Below are 16,812 nucleotides of genomic sequence, written 5' to 3'. Positions count from 1 at the left end.
GTAGAGGCTACATAGCTTTGCACTTCCTTTTCCTTCTGCCTAGGAAGTCTTTCTCCACCTGGACCTTTTACCATCATCAAACAGGTGTAAGGAAGTTTTCTTTACAGAAGCCTTCCCCAAACCTCCAAGAAGAACTGTCTGAAGGGGCTCGAAGGCAAATAATAAAACCCCAAGGTCAGGTCTGGTGGCTCATGCCTGTAATCTCAGCACTTAAAGGTAGGAGGAGCACTTGAGGCCAGGAGTTCAAGACCAGCCTGGGCAACATAACGAGACCCCGTCCCTATAAAAAAATGAAAAAAACTAGTTGGATGTGGTGGTACATGCTGTTAGTCCTAGTTACTTTGGAGGCTGAGACAGGAAGATTGCTTGAGCCCAGGAACTATGAATGCCCCATGCAGTCCAGCCTGGATAATAATGAGACACTGCCTCATTATTTAAGTAAAAAAATTTTTTTAAATGTTAAAAAAATTTAAATAAAGCCCCAAGTAGATCTAAAACAAAATGTCAAGTGAAAACATAAGATATAGTTGGTTCAACAGAATGAAGGACAGTTGCAAGATTTTTCTTAAGTACTATGGTCAGGCAAAAAAAAAAAAAAAAAGGTAACCTAATATGGAATTCGAAATGATGAAGCAATGACAAACTGAAACACTTTTCCATGCAAAAAAAAAAAAAAATGTGGAGGATTCACACAGCTGTAGTCTTAGCAGCTGTTGAGTCAACCAACTTGGGTAAGTAGGCGTGGAAATCAGAGAATGCTGATTTATGCTAATTTACTTATATTTGGTCTGAATACTCTCTATTTTTCATTTCTAAAACTCCTGTCAGCATCATTTCTGGTTCTATCCATTTTCAGAAAGTTTCATACAGCATTTCTTTCCAATGGTCTTTTTTTCTGCTTTTACAGATTATGATGAAAAAGAATATGAAGATCCAAGTGAAACTGTAGGCCACATTCAGAAAACCACACACGTGCAAATTTGAATCCCATTAAGTCAAACACAAGAGTTAGATGTCCTAATACAAAGACGGCCAACACACGACCTTGAATTCAAGGACTCAGGGATTTGGAAGGCAGACTCACAGCCAACAGCCTTCAACGTCCAACAGGAACTTCGAATGTAGTCTGTCCAAAACCCAACTTGAGTTTGTTCCTCAAGCTTAATCCCACCTCAGATCCCCTCCCCATTCTCTGTAAATGACATCAGGAATCCTCCTCCAGTTGCCGAGGGCACAAACCTTGTTTCTAATCATTCTTGACTCCCTGCTTTTCTTTACAGTCCTTCCCAGTCAGACCAGTAGTAAATCCCATCAACTCTGTGAACTGGGATCTGATTAATTCTCACCTCTCATGGCCACCACCCTAGTCATGGCCTGTTGTCCCTACGTTGTCCAGGAGCCTCCTCACGGGTCTCCCTGCTTCCAGGCTTGCCTTATCCCCCTACAGACTGCTTTAACTAAGTATATAAGTCTTTAAAACCCTCCAATGGAGGCCAGGTGTGGTGGCTCATGCCTGTAATCCTAGCACTTAGGGAGATCGAGGCAGGAGGATCGCTTGAGGCCAGGAGTTTGAAACCAGCCTGGGCATCACAGCAAGATCCTGTCTCTAAAAAAAAAATTTAAAAATTAACTGGGCTTGGTGGTGTGCACCTGCAGTCCCAGCTACTAGGAAGGCTGAGATGGGAGGATCGCTGGAGCCCAGGAGTTTGCGGCTGCAGTGAACTATGATTGAGCCACTGCACTCCAGCCTGGGTGACAGAGCAAGACCCTATTTCTAGAAAAATAAAAAGCCAATGATTTTCCCTCTTACTCAGAGTAAAAATTCAAGCCTTTACTACAGCCTGTTAAGACCCTACATGACCTTGACCTTGACTATGTCCCACCCCCATATGGTCCCTCAGTCCCATGTAGCCATCCTGCCACCCCACCTAAGGCCTTGGTCTTAACTGTCTAACTTGTGTTGTTTCCTCTGCCTTCTGGGCTCTTCCACTAGACAGATATCCACATGGCCACCTCCTCCCTCACTGCTCCCTGGTGTCTGCTCAAAGTGTCCTTTCATCCAGAAGGCCTTCTCTTTAAGGTCTCCTGTGTCGATTTCCCTTACACTGTCTTATTTTTTTTTCATAGCACTTATACTGCATGCCATCTATTGGTTTGTCTGTCACCTGCCTGTTTTCTCTGAAATCCTGGCACTAATAAGGCAGGTACTTTGTGTGTTCCCTGTTTTTCCAGACCTACACAGCAGTGCCTAATATGCCCTTAAGAAATATACACTGAATAAATAAGAATAAAAGAGAAGCACAACATAGACATAGAAAACATAAGGCCAAATTAAAGGTAATTCACTCATAAAAGAGCAACACATTAGGAAGTGTATAGAGATGCACCTGACAGCAATAACTTAACCTAGGCATGCCCTGAGAATGACACTATGATCAAGAAGAATGTGCATTCAGAGTTCTGAGCTAAGGAATCCAGGAGTGGCCAACCCAGGGATTCACTCCTTACCCATGATGGACATCCAAACCCCTGGCCTGTCTCTTGAAATGCAGGTCATACAGGGGATCAAGTCCCTTTGTTTTGGGTTAAATGGAGGTTGCTAGGTGGAGGGTGCTAAGTGAAAATGCTATATAAACTGTATGCTTTTTACAAATGGTAGTGGTTCTCCTGTCCAACCTGCCACCACTGGACCATCCCTGTAAGTAAGTTCCCCTGATAAACCCTATGTCTCGTTTGCTGTCTCTCAGTCTTTTCTTTTCTTTGAGATGGAGTCTTAATCTGTCGCCCAGGCTGAAGTGCAGTGGCGTGATCTCGGCTCACTGCAGCCTCCGCCTCCCCGGTTCAAGTGATTCTCCTGCCTCAGCCTCCCAAGTAGCTGGGATTATAGGCGGGCGCCACCACGCTCAGCTAATTTTTGTATTTTTCGTAGATACAGGGTTTCACCACATTGACCAGGCTGGTCTCGAACTCCTGACCTCAGGTGATCTGCCTGCCTCAGCCTCCCAAAGTGCTGGGATTTTAGGCATGAGCCACTGCGCCTGGCCAACCCGTTCTAAAAAATAAAGTCTACTTACAAGAAAAGATTAATTGTGGAACTTCTGTTGCCTTTAAAAAAAAATAAGTAAATAAACATTTTTTGCAAGCAAAGTCCTTCTTGGAATCCAGAAAAAGGAAAACCACTTTCAGCTGAAGTGATCTGGGGATGAAGCTACAGTGTCAGCAGGTGGAGATGGTTGGGGTTTGGGGAATGGAGAGGAGGGAAGACCTGTTTGGGAATGGAAGTTAGAAGGTGCGTGGGGCCCTGAGCACTATGCTGCACCTGGCACTGTGGTGACATGAAGGCTGCAATTAAATTTCAGTTTTCCAGATACTGAAAACCTTCAGCTTGAAGTCACTCAATATGCTTTATAATCAATTTATATTTGAAAAGAGAAGAAAAAGTTTATCAGCCTTAATAGTAAATGCTTCGGATAATTTTCTAGGCATTTTTAGGGCTTTTTTGGTGTTTTTAACACCTCAGTATTTATGGCATAATGAAATGTCATTGATACAAAAATAATGACCTGGTTCTAACTTGAAGATGCCAAGACTAAAGAGAAATGTGAGAGCAGGGGGGCACTTATCTGCCCCAGCTGCACTGAATTTTATTGTCTGAGATTGCCGGGCTCAAAAGTAGCATTAGGAATGCAGACCTGGCCAGTTGCGGGGGCTCACACCTGTAATCCCAGCACTTTGGGAGGCTGAGGCGGGTGGATCACTTGAGGTCAGGAGTTCAAGACAGGCTTGGCCAACATGGTGAAACCCTGTGCCTACTAAAAATACAAAAATCAGCCGGGCGTGGTGGCTGGTGCCTGTAATCCCAGCTATTCGGAAGGCAGAGGCATGAGAATTGCTTGAACCCGGAAGGCAGAGGTTGCAGTGAGCCAAGATAACACCACTGCACTCCAGCCTGGGCAACAGAGTGAGACTCTTGTCTCAATAAACAAACAAACAGGCGAATTCACTTCAGGTGAGGGGTTTGAGACCAGCCTGGCCAACATGGTGAAACCCCATCTCTACTAAAAATACAAAATTAGCCAGGTGTGGTGGTGCATGCCTCTAGTCCCAGCTACTCAGGAGGCTGAGGCAGGAGAATTGCTTGAACCCAGGAGGTGGAGGCTGTAGTGAGTCGAGATCGTGCCACTGCACTCCAGCTTGGGTGATACAATGAGACTCCATCTCAAAAAAATAATAAAAGAATGCAGACGCCACCCAAAATGCACAGAACAGCGTAAGGAAACCATGCAGGAAATGCAGAGAGAGGGGCTTTCATAGTAGAAACAGAGGCAGGATATATTTATACTACTCAATTCAAGATGATCCTGCCAAAGACAAGAACAGAAGGAATCTCTGGAACACCTGTGACAAGCAAATCGAGGTGTGCAGAAGAGGAGAAGGAAAATGGTCCAAAAGATCTGAACAGACTCAGGTGGCCATGTGGTCACTTTTCTAATAACTAGCATTTAACTTAAAAAAATTGGAAATAATTCTCCCAAAAGGAAACTGACTAAGCAGTGATCTCTTCACACTGTGGGACAGGGATTCATTTTGTTACCAATTTAAAAGATTTTGAATGCAAAATTTATAACTCATGTTGTCTTACAAACATTTCTCTAGGAGTCTCTGCAGATGCCCAGTGAGGAAGGTGAGTAACTGGTAAAGCATCTCTCTGTACGTAGCCTCGGCATCAGTGTTTGAGCTAAAGGTTGGTGACTACCCTCTGCGGTAGCAGAGAAATCACAGGAAGATAGGAAGCACGGGTGAAGCTATATCTCTTGCATCTGGAATCGAACAAGCAGTAAAGAATCTAGGAGAAAAGTTATTGCTGGACATGGAGCATGCACAGCTTCTGGGGGTCTAAAGGGAAGGAAAACAGAGGCAGTTTGGTCAGAGAGAGAAGTCTAAATGGGAGGGAGGCACCACACTGGTTAAATTTCATTAGTTCACAGGGCAGGCTGAACCCACAGAGGACACACCAGGGCTGTAAGTATCACTCCAGCATCCACAGGCTTCATAAAATTGTAGTTTACTCATAAGCGTAAAAGTGACTACTGAAAAGGAAAAAACTAGATTGAGTCAGTGGCTCATGCCTGTAATCCCAGTACTTTGGGAGGCCAAGGTGAGAAGATCACATTAACTCAGGAGTTTCAAACCAGCCTGAGCAACATAGGGAGATTCTGTCTCTACAAAAAAATTAAAAAATTAGCCAGGCGTGGTGGTGCACACCTATGGTCTCAGCTACTTGGGAGGCTGAGGTGGGAGGACTGTTTGAGCCAGGGAGGTCAAGGCTGCAGTGAGCTACGATCAGAGCCTGGGCAACAGAGCAAGACCCTGTTTCCAGAAAAAAAGGAAAAAACTCACATATCAAAGGCACTTACGTTGCCATGAGAAAGCTACAGGATTGTGATATTTGGTGTAATTTGATGTACAGGTTCTGTATGGACAAAGCCAAGAGTACAGGGAATTTTAGAGGAAGAGAGTGATTCAAGTCAGGTCAAACCTAAGTTGGTTGTTAGGCTCAAAATAATCTAAAGAACCTGGATTTTAGAGCCTGGCCCCAAAATCTAGCCATGAGCAATTGTAGAAAACTCGGTCAACTTCTCTAAAAGCCAGTAAGATAGCTTCATCATTTTCCATTTTGAAGAGCCAGATGACATTAGCGTTATTATATACAGTATTTACAATTTGTAACATTTTTTGCAACTCTGTGCTAGGTGTTTTAAGGTCATTATCTCTAATATTCATTCTGACCCTGCCGGGACCCCCAGAAGCCAGAATTCAGGATAGTTGAATTCTGAAAGTTGAAGAGAAGAGCACCAAACTCAGTGCATTAATTCCTGAGCCCAAGCTCTGTTCATTCTGACAAGTTGCCCCATACATGAATTCCCTCCAAGATTGTCTCTCAGCTTCTTTTCCTGTGGGATATGCTCTTACTATTTATTTTATTTTATTTATTTATTTTTTCTTTTTGAGATGGAGTCTTCCTCTGTCGCCCAGGCTGGAGTGCAGTGGTGCGATCTTGGCTCACCATGGCCTCCGCCTTCCAAGTTCAAGTGATTCTCCTGCCTCAGCCTCCTGAGTAGCTGAGACTATAAGCAGGTACTACCATGCCCGGCTAATTTTTGTATATTTAGTAGAGAAGAGGTTTTGCCATGTTGACCAGGCTGGTCTCAAACTCCTGACCTCAGGTGATCCGCCCACTTCGGCCTCCCAAAGTGCTGGAATGATAGACGTGAGCCACTGCGCCCGGCTCGCTACTCCTATTTCTAACCCTTTGATTAAGTCTGAGCCTTTAACTTTTATTATCCTCTGTCTTAAGACAGGAACTAATGAGGCTGTCCATGCCAGTAATTCTCAAACCCATCAGACCCAAGGCCTCTTTTTATATCCTGAGATATACTTATTTTAAAACTTGCTTAGTCACATAGATTTAAAAAAATCAATACAATATCCTATTATATAAATGAGAAAAAAAAAATTTCTAAACAAATAAGGAACATTTCAATATACAAATGCTCAGGTACAATGACATCAGGAGCTACCTCTAAGTAGAATCAGTGTGAATTCAATAGTTACACATGCAGACTGATATGAGCAGAGACATTACTGTATAGTAAAGTTCTAAACAAAACAAAGGACAGTATCCTCTCAATTGAAATGGTAATTGCATTCCTGAAAAATTTAGCATATATTTAATTTTTGTTTATATAAAAATATTTTTAGAGTCTATTAATAAAAACACTTTTTCACCACCAAAATGTCAGGCCAGATGTTCTAAAGTCACGGCCTCAAGTGACAATTCTTCACAGTATGAGACTATCCTATGCCTTGCAAGGTATCTAGTATCCCTGGCCTTTGTCCTATTTCATGTACCTTTCACTTTGTTCCCCTACTAGCTTCTCTCAGTTAAAATCCTTGATGTGATTGTCTACTCAGACATCTGCTTCTTTTAACAGGCAGTCATTTAAAGACTCCAGTTTCTTTCTTTAAATTTTTAAATTTTTTATTTTTTGAGACAGAGTCTTGTTCTGTTGCCCAGGCTGGAATGCAGTGGCATGATCTCAGCTCACTGCAACCTCCACCTCCCAGCTTCAAGTGATTCTCCTGCCTCAGCCTCCTGAGTAGCTTGGATTACAGGCATGGGCCACTACACCCAGCTAATTTTTATATTTTTAGTAGAGATGGGGTTTTACCATCTTGGCCAGTATGATCTTGAACTCCTGACCTGACCTCAGGTGATCCGCCTGCCTTGGCCTCCCAAAGTGCTGGGATTACAGGCATGAGACACTGCACCCAGTCTAAAGACTCCAGTTTCTTTATGATCATTGAGATGGGGACTGAGCAACTGGCACCTTCCCTGTCTGTCCATCAAGGGGCATGTGCTGGATGTGTGTGGATGCTACTTCCATTAGGCAAACTCATGGTAGTTACTTACGTCACACTGAGGAGAAACAGACCACTAAGCATGCAATTATTAAACACAAATGTAGTCAGTGGATCTGTTTCCTTAACAGAACATGGCCCTGCTGCATTGTACCCTTCAACCAACTGCTCCAATTATTGTGACAAACAAAAGTAGCCCCCAAAATTTTCACAATATGCCATAGTGGGTGGTCCTTTTGCCTGGTTTTAGCTGTAGAGAGATAATCTTCCTTACTTTATATGTTTCTCCCCATTCTTGTTTTATTCCTAGACAGCTAACAAGCCTTTAATATCAAATTCTTTTGCATTTTGAAAATCCCAGTGTATTACAGTCTCATGTCCTTCTGTGGTTGGTATCAAGTAAGTGAGAGTTGGAATACTCAGCTTTTGACAGCGACAGAGACCATCCTCCTGTAGTTGCCACGTACTTGGTCCTGAAGATCACAGCTGATAAGATTATAAAACTATACACGTGTAGAGTGCTTATTTTTAGATGCTAGCAATTTCTTTTTTTGCACATAATCTGTATTTAGCCCCAATTAGCAAGCTTTCTCTCTATCCTTCTTCGCGAAGGCCAAACACTACCCAGTGAGGGTACACAAAAAATGAAAGAAAGAAAAACTATCAAAGGTGATCTGAAATAACAAATCCAAGATTTTAAAAGAAGAAAAGGGTTTCCACGTTTTTAAGACTCAAAATGGTCATAGGAAAATGGTACATGTTGGGTTACGTTTTCTATGTTTGAGTAATTATGAGGTAACCTCCCTCTAAGTCAATGAGAAGAAACTCAGCTTTTAATGTGATTTATTCATTAGTTGTTCAATAGCTATCCAGGGAGTCTCTGCTTTATACAAGGTTCTGTGCAATGTACAAAGCCAGAACTCCCAACTCAGCTGCATTGGAATCACCTGGAGACCCCTTGTTAAAATGTGGATCCTGGCCGGGCATAGTGATTCACTCCTGTAATTCCAGCACTTTGGAAAGCCTAGGCGGGAGGACTGCTTGAGAGGCCAGGAGTTTGAGACCAACCAGCCTTGGCAACATGGAGACACCTCTCTACAAAAAAACTTAAAAATTAACTGGGTTTGATGATGTGCACCTGTAAGGCCAACTATTCAGGAGGCTGAGGGGAGAAGATCGCTTGAGCCCAGGAGGTCAAGGCTGCAGTGAGCAATGATTGTGCCACTGCACTCCAGCCTGGGCAACAGAGTGGGCCCCTGTCTCCAAAAAGAAAAAAGAAAAAAAATGTGAATTCTGATCCCACATATCTGAGATGGGGGCTGACAGTCTGCTTTTTGAGCAAGCTCACAGGTGACACCCTTACTGCTGGCCAGCAGAGGACATTTTAAGTACTAAGGCACATTAAAGAATAAAATAATTAAACATGGACCCTGCCTTCAAAGAACTTACAATTTGCATAAGGAGATATACGTTTTTCCAAATCAAACAGAAGAGCCATGTGCCATAAGAGCGATACAACAGGTCAAAGAATTAATTACTCCTGGCTCAGGAGTGGTAGCATGTCTGGGATGAAGAAGGTGGCATTTAGGTTGATTTCTTAGTGAAGGAAGGATTGGTAGCAATAGGGAGGTATAGAAGGGAGAGGATGCCCGGCAGAGGGACCAGTGTCAACAAAGAGACCCTTCACCCTCAGATGAAGAGGGAGAAGTTCCACCAGGAGGGAATGCCTGTTGGAGGTGTGGATAAAATGGTGAAACAGGGGCCTGAGAAATTGGCCTGAGAACAACTGGGGAAGCACCCGGGACACAAATCAAGAAGTCTAGAACTGAGCTTTATGACAACTGTCCTCAGAGCAGTGGGAGAAACAAACAAAGGGGCGGAGGAAAGGAAATTGAGGCTGAAAGACCAGTGAAGGGGCTCCTGAAATAGTCCAGAAGAAATAAATCCTAAAGTAGACACAGTCATAAATCTTTGATAAGAAACGAAAATGCTGAACTATTTATATCTGAGTTTCCCATATTGGATCTTACTTGAATAATGATCCATCTTTTCCTCATCTGACAAGCAGTTACCAGCATTTCTTTAAGGGTTAGAGAAAGATATATTAATTAAAAGTTGTAAGATGATGTTCTTGGAATGCTCACTCCTGGATTATGCTGGAAATAACTAAGAGATGCTATAATTATTTTAAGAGACTTAAGATATAAGTTCTCTATTAACAAATAGTGTCCCACCTAACACAAAATACTCAGTCATTTTTCATTCTCAGAAGAGGAGGTCTTAGCCTCACTGACCATATTTCTCCTTACTTCAATGCCCAATACTATGTTGGTTTTAGGTCAGCCCAGAAGAGAGACATTTCTAGTATTTCCAGAGAAAAGCATCTGGTTTTGAAATATAGTGAGAGGGGCCGCCTCCAGAATAGTAGTTTACAGAGTGGGAGAATGCAAGGTATTCCACAGTAGAAAATATTGTCATTTTAAATTCTCCAATTCCCAGACTTTCAGGCAGGGTATGTGTGATTTGACACCCTGGCAATGTGGACAGTGACCGAATTGCACTTGCCTTTCAGGTCCTAGAGTTTCAGACCCCTGACTCCTTTCCTGTCCCTGTAGGAGACATCAGAAGTCTCTGAAGTATGCAGAAGACTAAATGGAGATCTTAAAGTTTCCACGTTCCTTTCTAAATCCTAATTAAATGAAAACTTTTCTAAGGAAAAAGCTTGCTCTGAAGCAGTTGGTTGAAGTGTACAGTGGAGCAGAACCATGTTCTGTTAAGGAAACAGATCCACTGACTACGCTGGTGTTTACTAAATGCATACACGGTGGTCTATTTCCTCCTCAGTGTGAACGTAGCTAACTGCCATTAACTTGCCTAATGAAAGTAGCATCCACACACATCAAACACATGCCCCTCAATGGACAGACAGGGAAGGTGCCAGTTGTTCAATCCCTGTCTTGATGATCATAAAGAAACTGGAGTCTGTAAACCACTACCTGTTGAAAGAATTAGATGTCTGGGTAGGCAATCACATCGATAATTTAAACTGTGAGAAGCTAGTAGGGGAAAAGAGTGAAATGTACATGAAATGGGACAGAACTGCCTGAACCAAGCAGGCAAATGTAGAGCCCCAAGGTGGCCAGTCCACTCCACGTGGAAAGGAACTATTTCTTTTTTTTTTTTTTTTTTTTTTTTTTGAGACGGAGTCTCGCTCTGTCACCCAGGCTGGAGTGCAGTGGCGCTATCTCGGCTCACTGCAAGCTCCGCCTCCCAGGTTCATGCCATTCGCCTCAGCCTCCCCAGTAGCTGGGACTACAGGCGCCTGCCACCACGCCCGGCTATTTTTTCTATTTTTATTAGAGACGGTGTTTCCCCGTCTTAGCCAGGATGGTCTCCATCTCCTGACCTCGTGATCCGCCCGCCTTGGCCTCCCAAAGTGCTGGGATTCCAGGCGTGAGCCACCGCACCCGGCCAGGAACTATTTCAAAGACGTCGGTCGGAGACCTTCATGCCAGGACACCAGCAAGCTGGCAAAACAGATCTTGCAAAGGGTTTCTGCACTCTATCTGTGAGCTTCATTAATAGGCACTCAGGACTGAGAACCTTCATGTCAGCTGTGACAAGTGAATAGTCAGTAGAGAGAAGCTATTAATTTAAGACACCGTTGATAATGCAGTCTACCTTAAGAACAGGCAACAAGGGGCTTCAGATGCTGAAGCACAGACACAAGACATCCTGGAACTCCAAGTCCAAAGGGGAATGCTCAGGGCAGATATCAACAATGAAACCTTTTAAGCTGAGTCACTCTCAGCCTGACGGCTGCCAAGCCCAACAGCCATCCCTGGTTACAAGCTAGAGGAAAAGTCCCTGAGCATATCTGTTGTTTCCTGTGTGTAAAGATGCTAAATGCCAGGTGCTTTCCTCTAGAGTGGAAGGGCCGGGGCGGGGCAGTGCCTGCAGAGGCAGCAAGGTCAAGAGAGTTCATTTGGTTATTGCCATTAAAAAAGACTTCCCAGCCAGGCGCGGTGGCTCACGCCTGTAATCCCAGCACTTTGGGAGGCCGACGCTGGCAGATCACTTGAGGTCAGGAGTTCAAGACCAGGCTGGCCAATGTGGTGAAATCCTGTCTCTACTAAAAACAAAAACAAACAAAACAAACAACAACAACAACAAAATTAGCCGGGCATGGTGGCACATGCCTATAATCCCAGCTACTCGGGAGGCTGAGGCAAAATAACTGCTTGAACCCAGGAGGCAGAGGTTGCAGCCAGCCAAGATTACGCCACTGTACTCCTGGCTGGGCGACAGAGGGAGAGTCTGTCTCAGAAACAAAACAAAACAAAAACAAAAAACAACTTCCCGAGCATGCATTTTGGGTGCATCTTGAAGTGCAGCTTGTAGCATGTAGAAATTGGCCTTCTGGTTCACAGAGTGCTGCAAGTGAAGTACTAGATGTCTGCGTATTTCCAGATATACTCAGATCATATTTCAGGCCACCTTTCTTCTTTTTTTTTTCTAATCCAGGATGCGCTCAGGATTCCCTCTCCACTCACCATGAAGAACTTCAAGTAGCGGCCACACTTTGCAGTGCCTCTCACTCAGGCTGCGATATCCTAAGCGTTTACCTTCATTCCGTGGAAACTCTTGAAACAGCCCATGTCAATCATGACTCAGCAGTTTTTCCTTACCATGAAAACAGCAGAGCAATGGGTTTCTCCATTTTTAGAGTTAATGCATTAGCTATAAATGTAATTCCATAGTAGATATGAAGTGCAACAAAAAAAAGTCTGGGACAAATTCTGCCACTTTTCAGAGGGTAACAGGAGATGGTTGACTCAAGATGGAATGTAAGAACCCTCATGGCCTCCCTACCCTTCTCTTTAACCTCTTCATGGTTGTGCAGAATAAACCTCTAATACTTCTGATGAGTGAGGCAAATGGCCTTCCTGTAAAGGCAGAACCCCAAGAATTTTCAAGAAAGTTTGTGTGGCCAGCCTGAGGTTCCAGGGAAGAGGAATGGGTATTTGGAATAGAGAAATACAGTGGTTAATTCTGAGCTCCAAGTTATTGGTCCAAATTGGTCTACTTCAATTCCTTGGTCAGTCTTTTGGAGTTTTCCATCAGTTAAACAATGTCCACGGTAAACTGCCATGACCACTTAACCTCAACTGCAAACTACATCCACTTAATCCTCTGGGGTCCCTTTTTATTCATAATAAATCCAGAAAAATCTTGTATTGTGTTTTATTTCCTCAATCATATCTCCTTTAATTCTCCAACAAGCCTTTCCTGATTAGAAAAGCCAGAAAACTCATCCAAATATCTCTGTTGAAGAGCTGGACAAAGTTTTCAAGTATTATTGAATTTTTAATCCACTAAACAAAAATCCTCCAATGTTGTTCCATTTTATTTCAGGGTCTAGTTTCTCTATGCAACTGCAAGGGTAGGGGCCACCTATTTATTTTTATTTACAGACCCATGTGTATATGGGAGAATTTAACATATACAAAAGGAACCCAAATTTTTTAGTCTTAGACTTTCAGGATTCCCTGTATTTAAATAATAGCTATTGATCTAAAAAATCTGCAAGAGAAATGTAATCCTTAGATTTTTTTTTTCTCCACATCGGAGTAGTAAAGCAAAATGAAATGGGTGAATGCTGTTTGTCAACTCTATGGTGGTATAAAAAAATGGTGTAGTGTGACCAAAAGCATACTTCTGATGAAAGCCCACTACCGGACAGGACACAACCTATAAGTTACTGTCCCCACAGACTGCCTTACAAGTGTCCTCACGCTCCAAAGAGGACTGGGAGAGGTAGAAGTGAAATGATTGAGTGAAGTTTTCTTTTTCTGAGATGGAGTGTCACTCTTGTTGCCCAAGCTGGAGTGCAATGGTGCGATCTTGACTCACTAGAACCTCCGCCTCCCAGGTTCAAGTGATTCTCTTGCTTCAGCCACCCTAATAGCTGGGATTTCAGGCACCTGCCACCATGCCTGGCTACTTTTTTGTATTTTTAGTGGAGACAGGGTTTTACCATGTTGGCCAGGCTGGTCTGGAATTCCTGACCTCAGGTGATCCGCCCGCCTCAGCCTCTCAAAGTGCTGGGACTACAGGCGTGAGCCACCATGCCCAGCCGATTGAGTGAAATTTTCTAAGATAATTGTTGGTCATATCCCACAGGGGACTGGGCTCTAGGATAGCCCATGCTTATATGGGAAGAAAAGTTATCGTGGGTCTTTGTTGTCCACAAGACAACCTCAGGGATCTCTTCCTATCCCAACAACCTCTGTCTATGTCAACAACCACTGTGGTCAACAAGAAGGAGGAAGCATTCCAAAACTTATTCACACAGAACAACTCAAATATAGATGATGGAGGAAAAACAAACTTTGAAAAGAGGGCACAATTTGCCATTCCCACTGGATGTATTTTAAACAACCCCCTGCCCCACACAATAAAAGGTCTTAAGAGAGACTTCATGGCCAGGCACGGTGGATCATGCCTGTAATCCCAGCACTTTGGGAGGCCGAGGCAGGTGGAGCACCTGAGGTCAGGAGTTTGAGACCAGCCTAGCCAACATGGTGAAACCCTGTCTCACTAAAATTACAAAAATTAGCCAGGCATGGTGGTGGGCACCTGTAACCCCAGCTACTTGGGAGGCTGAGGCAGGAGAATCGCTTGAATCTGGGGGTGGAGGTCGCAGTGAGCCGAGATCACACCACTACACTCCAGCCTGGGTGACAGAGCAAGACTCCGTCTGAAAAAAAAAAAAAAGAGAGACATCTGTTTATATTATGCTTTGTTGAAACTCTCTTCCTGTTGCATTATTGTGATAAGGTGAAAGTTAGCAAAAAAGAAAGAACTTTTTTTTTTTTACACTCATACAACCTCACCTGAGAGATGAATGACAGGTAATGTTTGCAGATACAATTTTCAGTAAACTTTCATTATCTCAATAGACTTCTACTTTAGGGCACTTGTGGCCTTTTCCAAAACCCTAAAATCCACTGAGAGAAATTGTGATTAAAATCATGTTTTCAGAGTTACTCTTAATATTTTTAATGCAAGTAAGAAGCTTTCTTCTGGGGAGCACATTTCCCATGAATCCTCACTCTTATGCAGATAATGAGCCCACTGTTCATTGAAGATTTGGGAGTTCTACTTCCACTCTCTCTTCCCTCCAATTTTTGCCATCACCCTGAGGGTTTCAGGGCCCTTAGGACAAGGCTTGGCACCTCCAGATTCTTTGACCTCCTGGTTCTTTGGTCTCCAGGTTTTTCGGCCTCCTTATCTCCTAGGACTCTTGCCTAGCCTCTGCACACGAACTGCCATACCTTGGAGCTTAGTATCACTCGGAACTGTTGCTCTACATCTGAAATCTTCAACTCTATTCTCTTCGCTTTTGATAACAACCTGTTGGCTCCCACAATCCCCAAATCTTTGACCATCTGTATCTTCTTTCAGCCTACTATTAAAAAGACTGGGTGCCATGATCTAGCACTTGCCCATACTTTTCTCAAAGCCTTCAGCTCCTCTGACCACTTACCTTCCCTCCTACCACCCCCACACAGCCCAATCTCAATCCCAGGGGGTCCCAGCATCCTTTCCTGTTCCCACACTGTGTTGCTGGTCATTACTGAGACTACCTACTAGAGGTCCCTACCCTTGCCAGGGCCCTAGTGACAATCCTTCTCAACATTCCCCTCTCCTTCCCACACGGAAACTCTCTCAAGCTTGTCCCTTCTCTTCCAGTCTCCTTCCTCATCAACCTCTTCTCTCATTTTCAGTGGAAGATCTTTGTTGGAAAATTCGATGGCAAGCAGTAAACCTTCTACAACTTCCTCCTCCTCCTCCTCCTCCATGAGGACAATTCAGCCCCAACTGCGATCTTCCATCATTGGCAGTGGAAAAAATATTTCCATCCCTCCTCCTCCACCTTCTCCTCCTCTTTCCCCTATTAAAAGCAAATCCACCCACCAACTGTTTCCATGCCTTCAGGGTCTCTCCTCTCAGGCCTCTGTAGGGCCCACACATCTTATAGCCTTCACTGGTTAACTCCTTCCTTTCACAGTCCACCTTCCAGAAGGAGCATCTATATTCCCACTTCCCCTTCCTTACCTCTCAATCAGTCACCACCCCAGTGCCCGTGCCCTCCACTGAACCAGCTCTTCCCAAATTTGCAGGGACTCCCAGTTGCTGAATGCAACAGCAATGGCAATCTCTTCATCTTAATGGCTTTGTATTATTATTTTATTTATAATATTAAATTGAAATATGTTTATAAACTTGGCATAGGATGAGGCAGGTTAAGAGCCAGTAGAGAAAAAAGCGTAAAAAGTAAAGAAAAACATGTATGGGCATGCCCAGGCACACAGTAGGAGATTAATATATGGCAGCTGTATAAATTGCAGGGCATCTAGAAGCAGCTTTTCATAAGATGGAACTCAAACCCTTCTCATTGGACTTGCCTAAAGTGCAAATTTGATATGTCACTTCCCTATTTACCTTTTAGTTGCTTCCCAGTGCCTACAGGATTAAGTCCAAACATCTTAACCAGGTACTTCATTGATTCAGCCCCAGCTGTCTCATGTCCAAGCATGTCCCCTACACACGCTGTGCTCATTAAACTCTGCACAGGACATACCATGATCTCTTTGCTTCCAAGGGTCTCTTCTGTGTCTGGCAAACTCCAACTCACTCTTCAAGCCTCAGCCTTCCCTGACCCAAACTGCCTCTTATCCTTTTGTTCCCTCTAGTGTTCCCATGGTCTGTTTCTCTGGTCTCCTTGTATGCTCTGTCCCTTGAGTGAGCATTCACATCCTATATAGCAATTCTGTGCCATCTCTCCCACTAAGGCTTGAGGACAGGTTAATGGAACTGCTCACACCTGCAGTTCTATTGGCCGGCGTGTGGACGCTCTGTAAAATGTGCTTGCTGAAGGCATGGTGAACAAGAATAGGATTCAGATAAAATGCTCTCTGGTGCAGCTAGCTTTGTATGGACTGCGCTAAATAGTAGAAGAGAAAGCTAAATGGAGATCTAGCCCTGGAAGCTTAAATTCACCAAAATCATATAACTCAGTTTACTAGTCTATAAAATAGGAAAATGGTGAGATACTTTGACATTTTCAAATGAAAATAATACACAGGAAGAAAAGCAATCATAATATACATAATCCAACTTCCATCACAACAACTTTCAAATAAACAAGTCATCTTGGCAAATGAGTAACTAGAAAAAAAAATTAGGGAGTAGGCTTCTGAGTAGGGTGTCTACTATGTCATTTTAAAAAATCCTGTAGTACTTTCCCGATGAAAATAATTTCAAAGGCTGGCTAAGTTTCAACCTGCAGGATTATATTCTGCCAGCTCAGTTCTTCTGCAGGCT

The 16,812-nt window shown here is 43.5% G+C and overlaps 1 protein-coding gene across 30 annotated transcripts in view, besides 1 other annotated feature; it reads right to left on the bottom strand.

Annotated features, from left to right (window-relative positions):
• KIAA1217 overlaps nt 1-16,812 on the bottom strand; it is an 853,117-nt gene that overhangs the window by 243,037 nt on the left and 593,268 nt on the right. The gene's annotated exons all lie outside the window — the stretch shown is intronic.
• Nucleotides 11,236-12,435: an enhancer, noted in NCBI's record as "BRD4-independent group 4 enhancer chr10:24581301-24582500 (GRCh37/hg19 assembly coordinates)". NCBI's record gives its function as "activates an origin of replication core promoter dependent on BRD2, P300/CBP, MED14 and CDK7 cofactors, and independent of BRD4, by STARR-seq in HCT116 cells {active_cell/tissue: HCT116}" and the evidence as "EXISTENCE:reporter gene assay evidence [ECO:0000049][PMID:35650434]".

This window comes from Homo sapiens, chromosome 10, assembly GCF_000001405.40.
Source record: "Homo sapiens chromosome 10, GRCh38.p14 Primary Assembly".
Lineage (NCBI taxonomy): Eukaryota > Metazoa > Chordata > Mammalia > Primates > Hominidae > Homo > Homo sapiens.
This window is presented reverse-complemented; position numbering and strand designations above follow the sequence as displayed.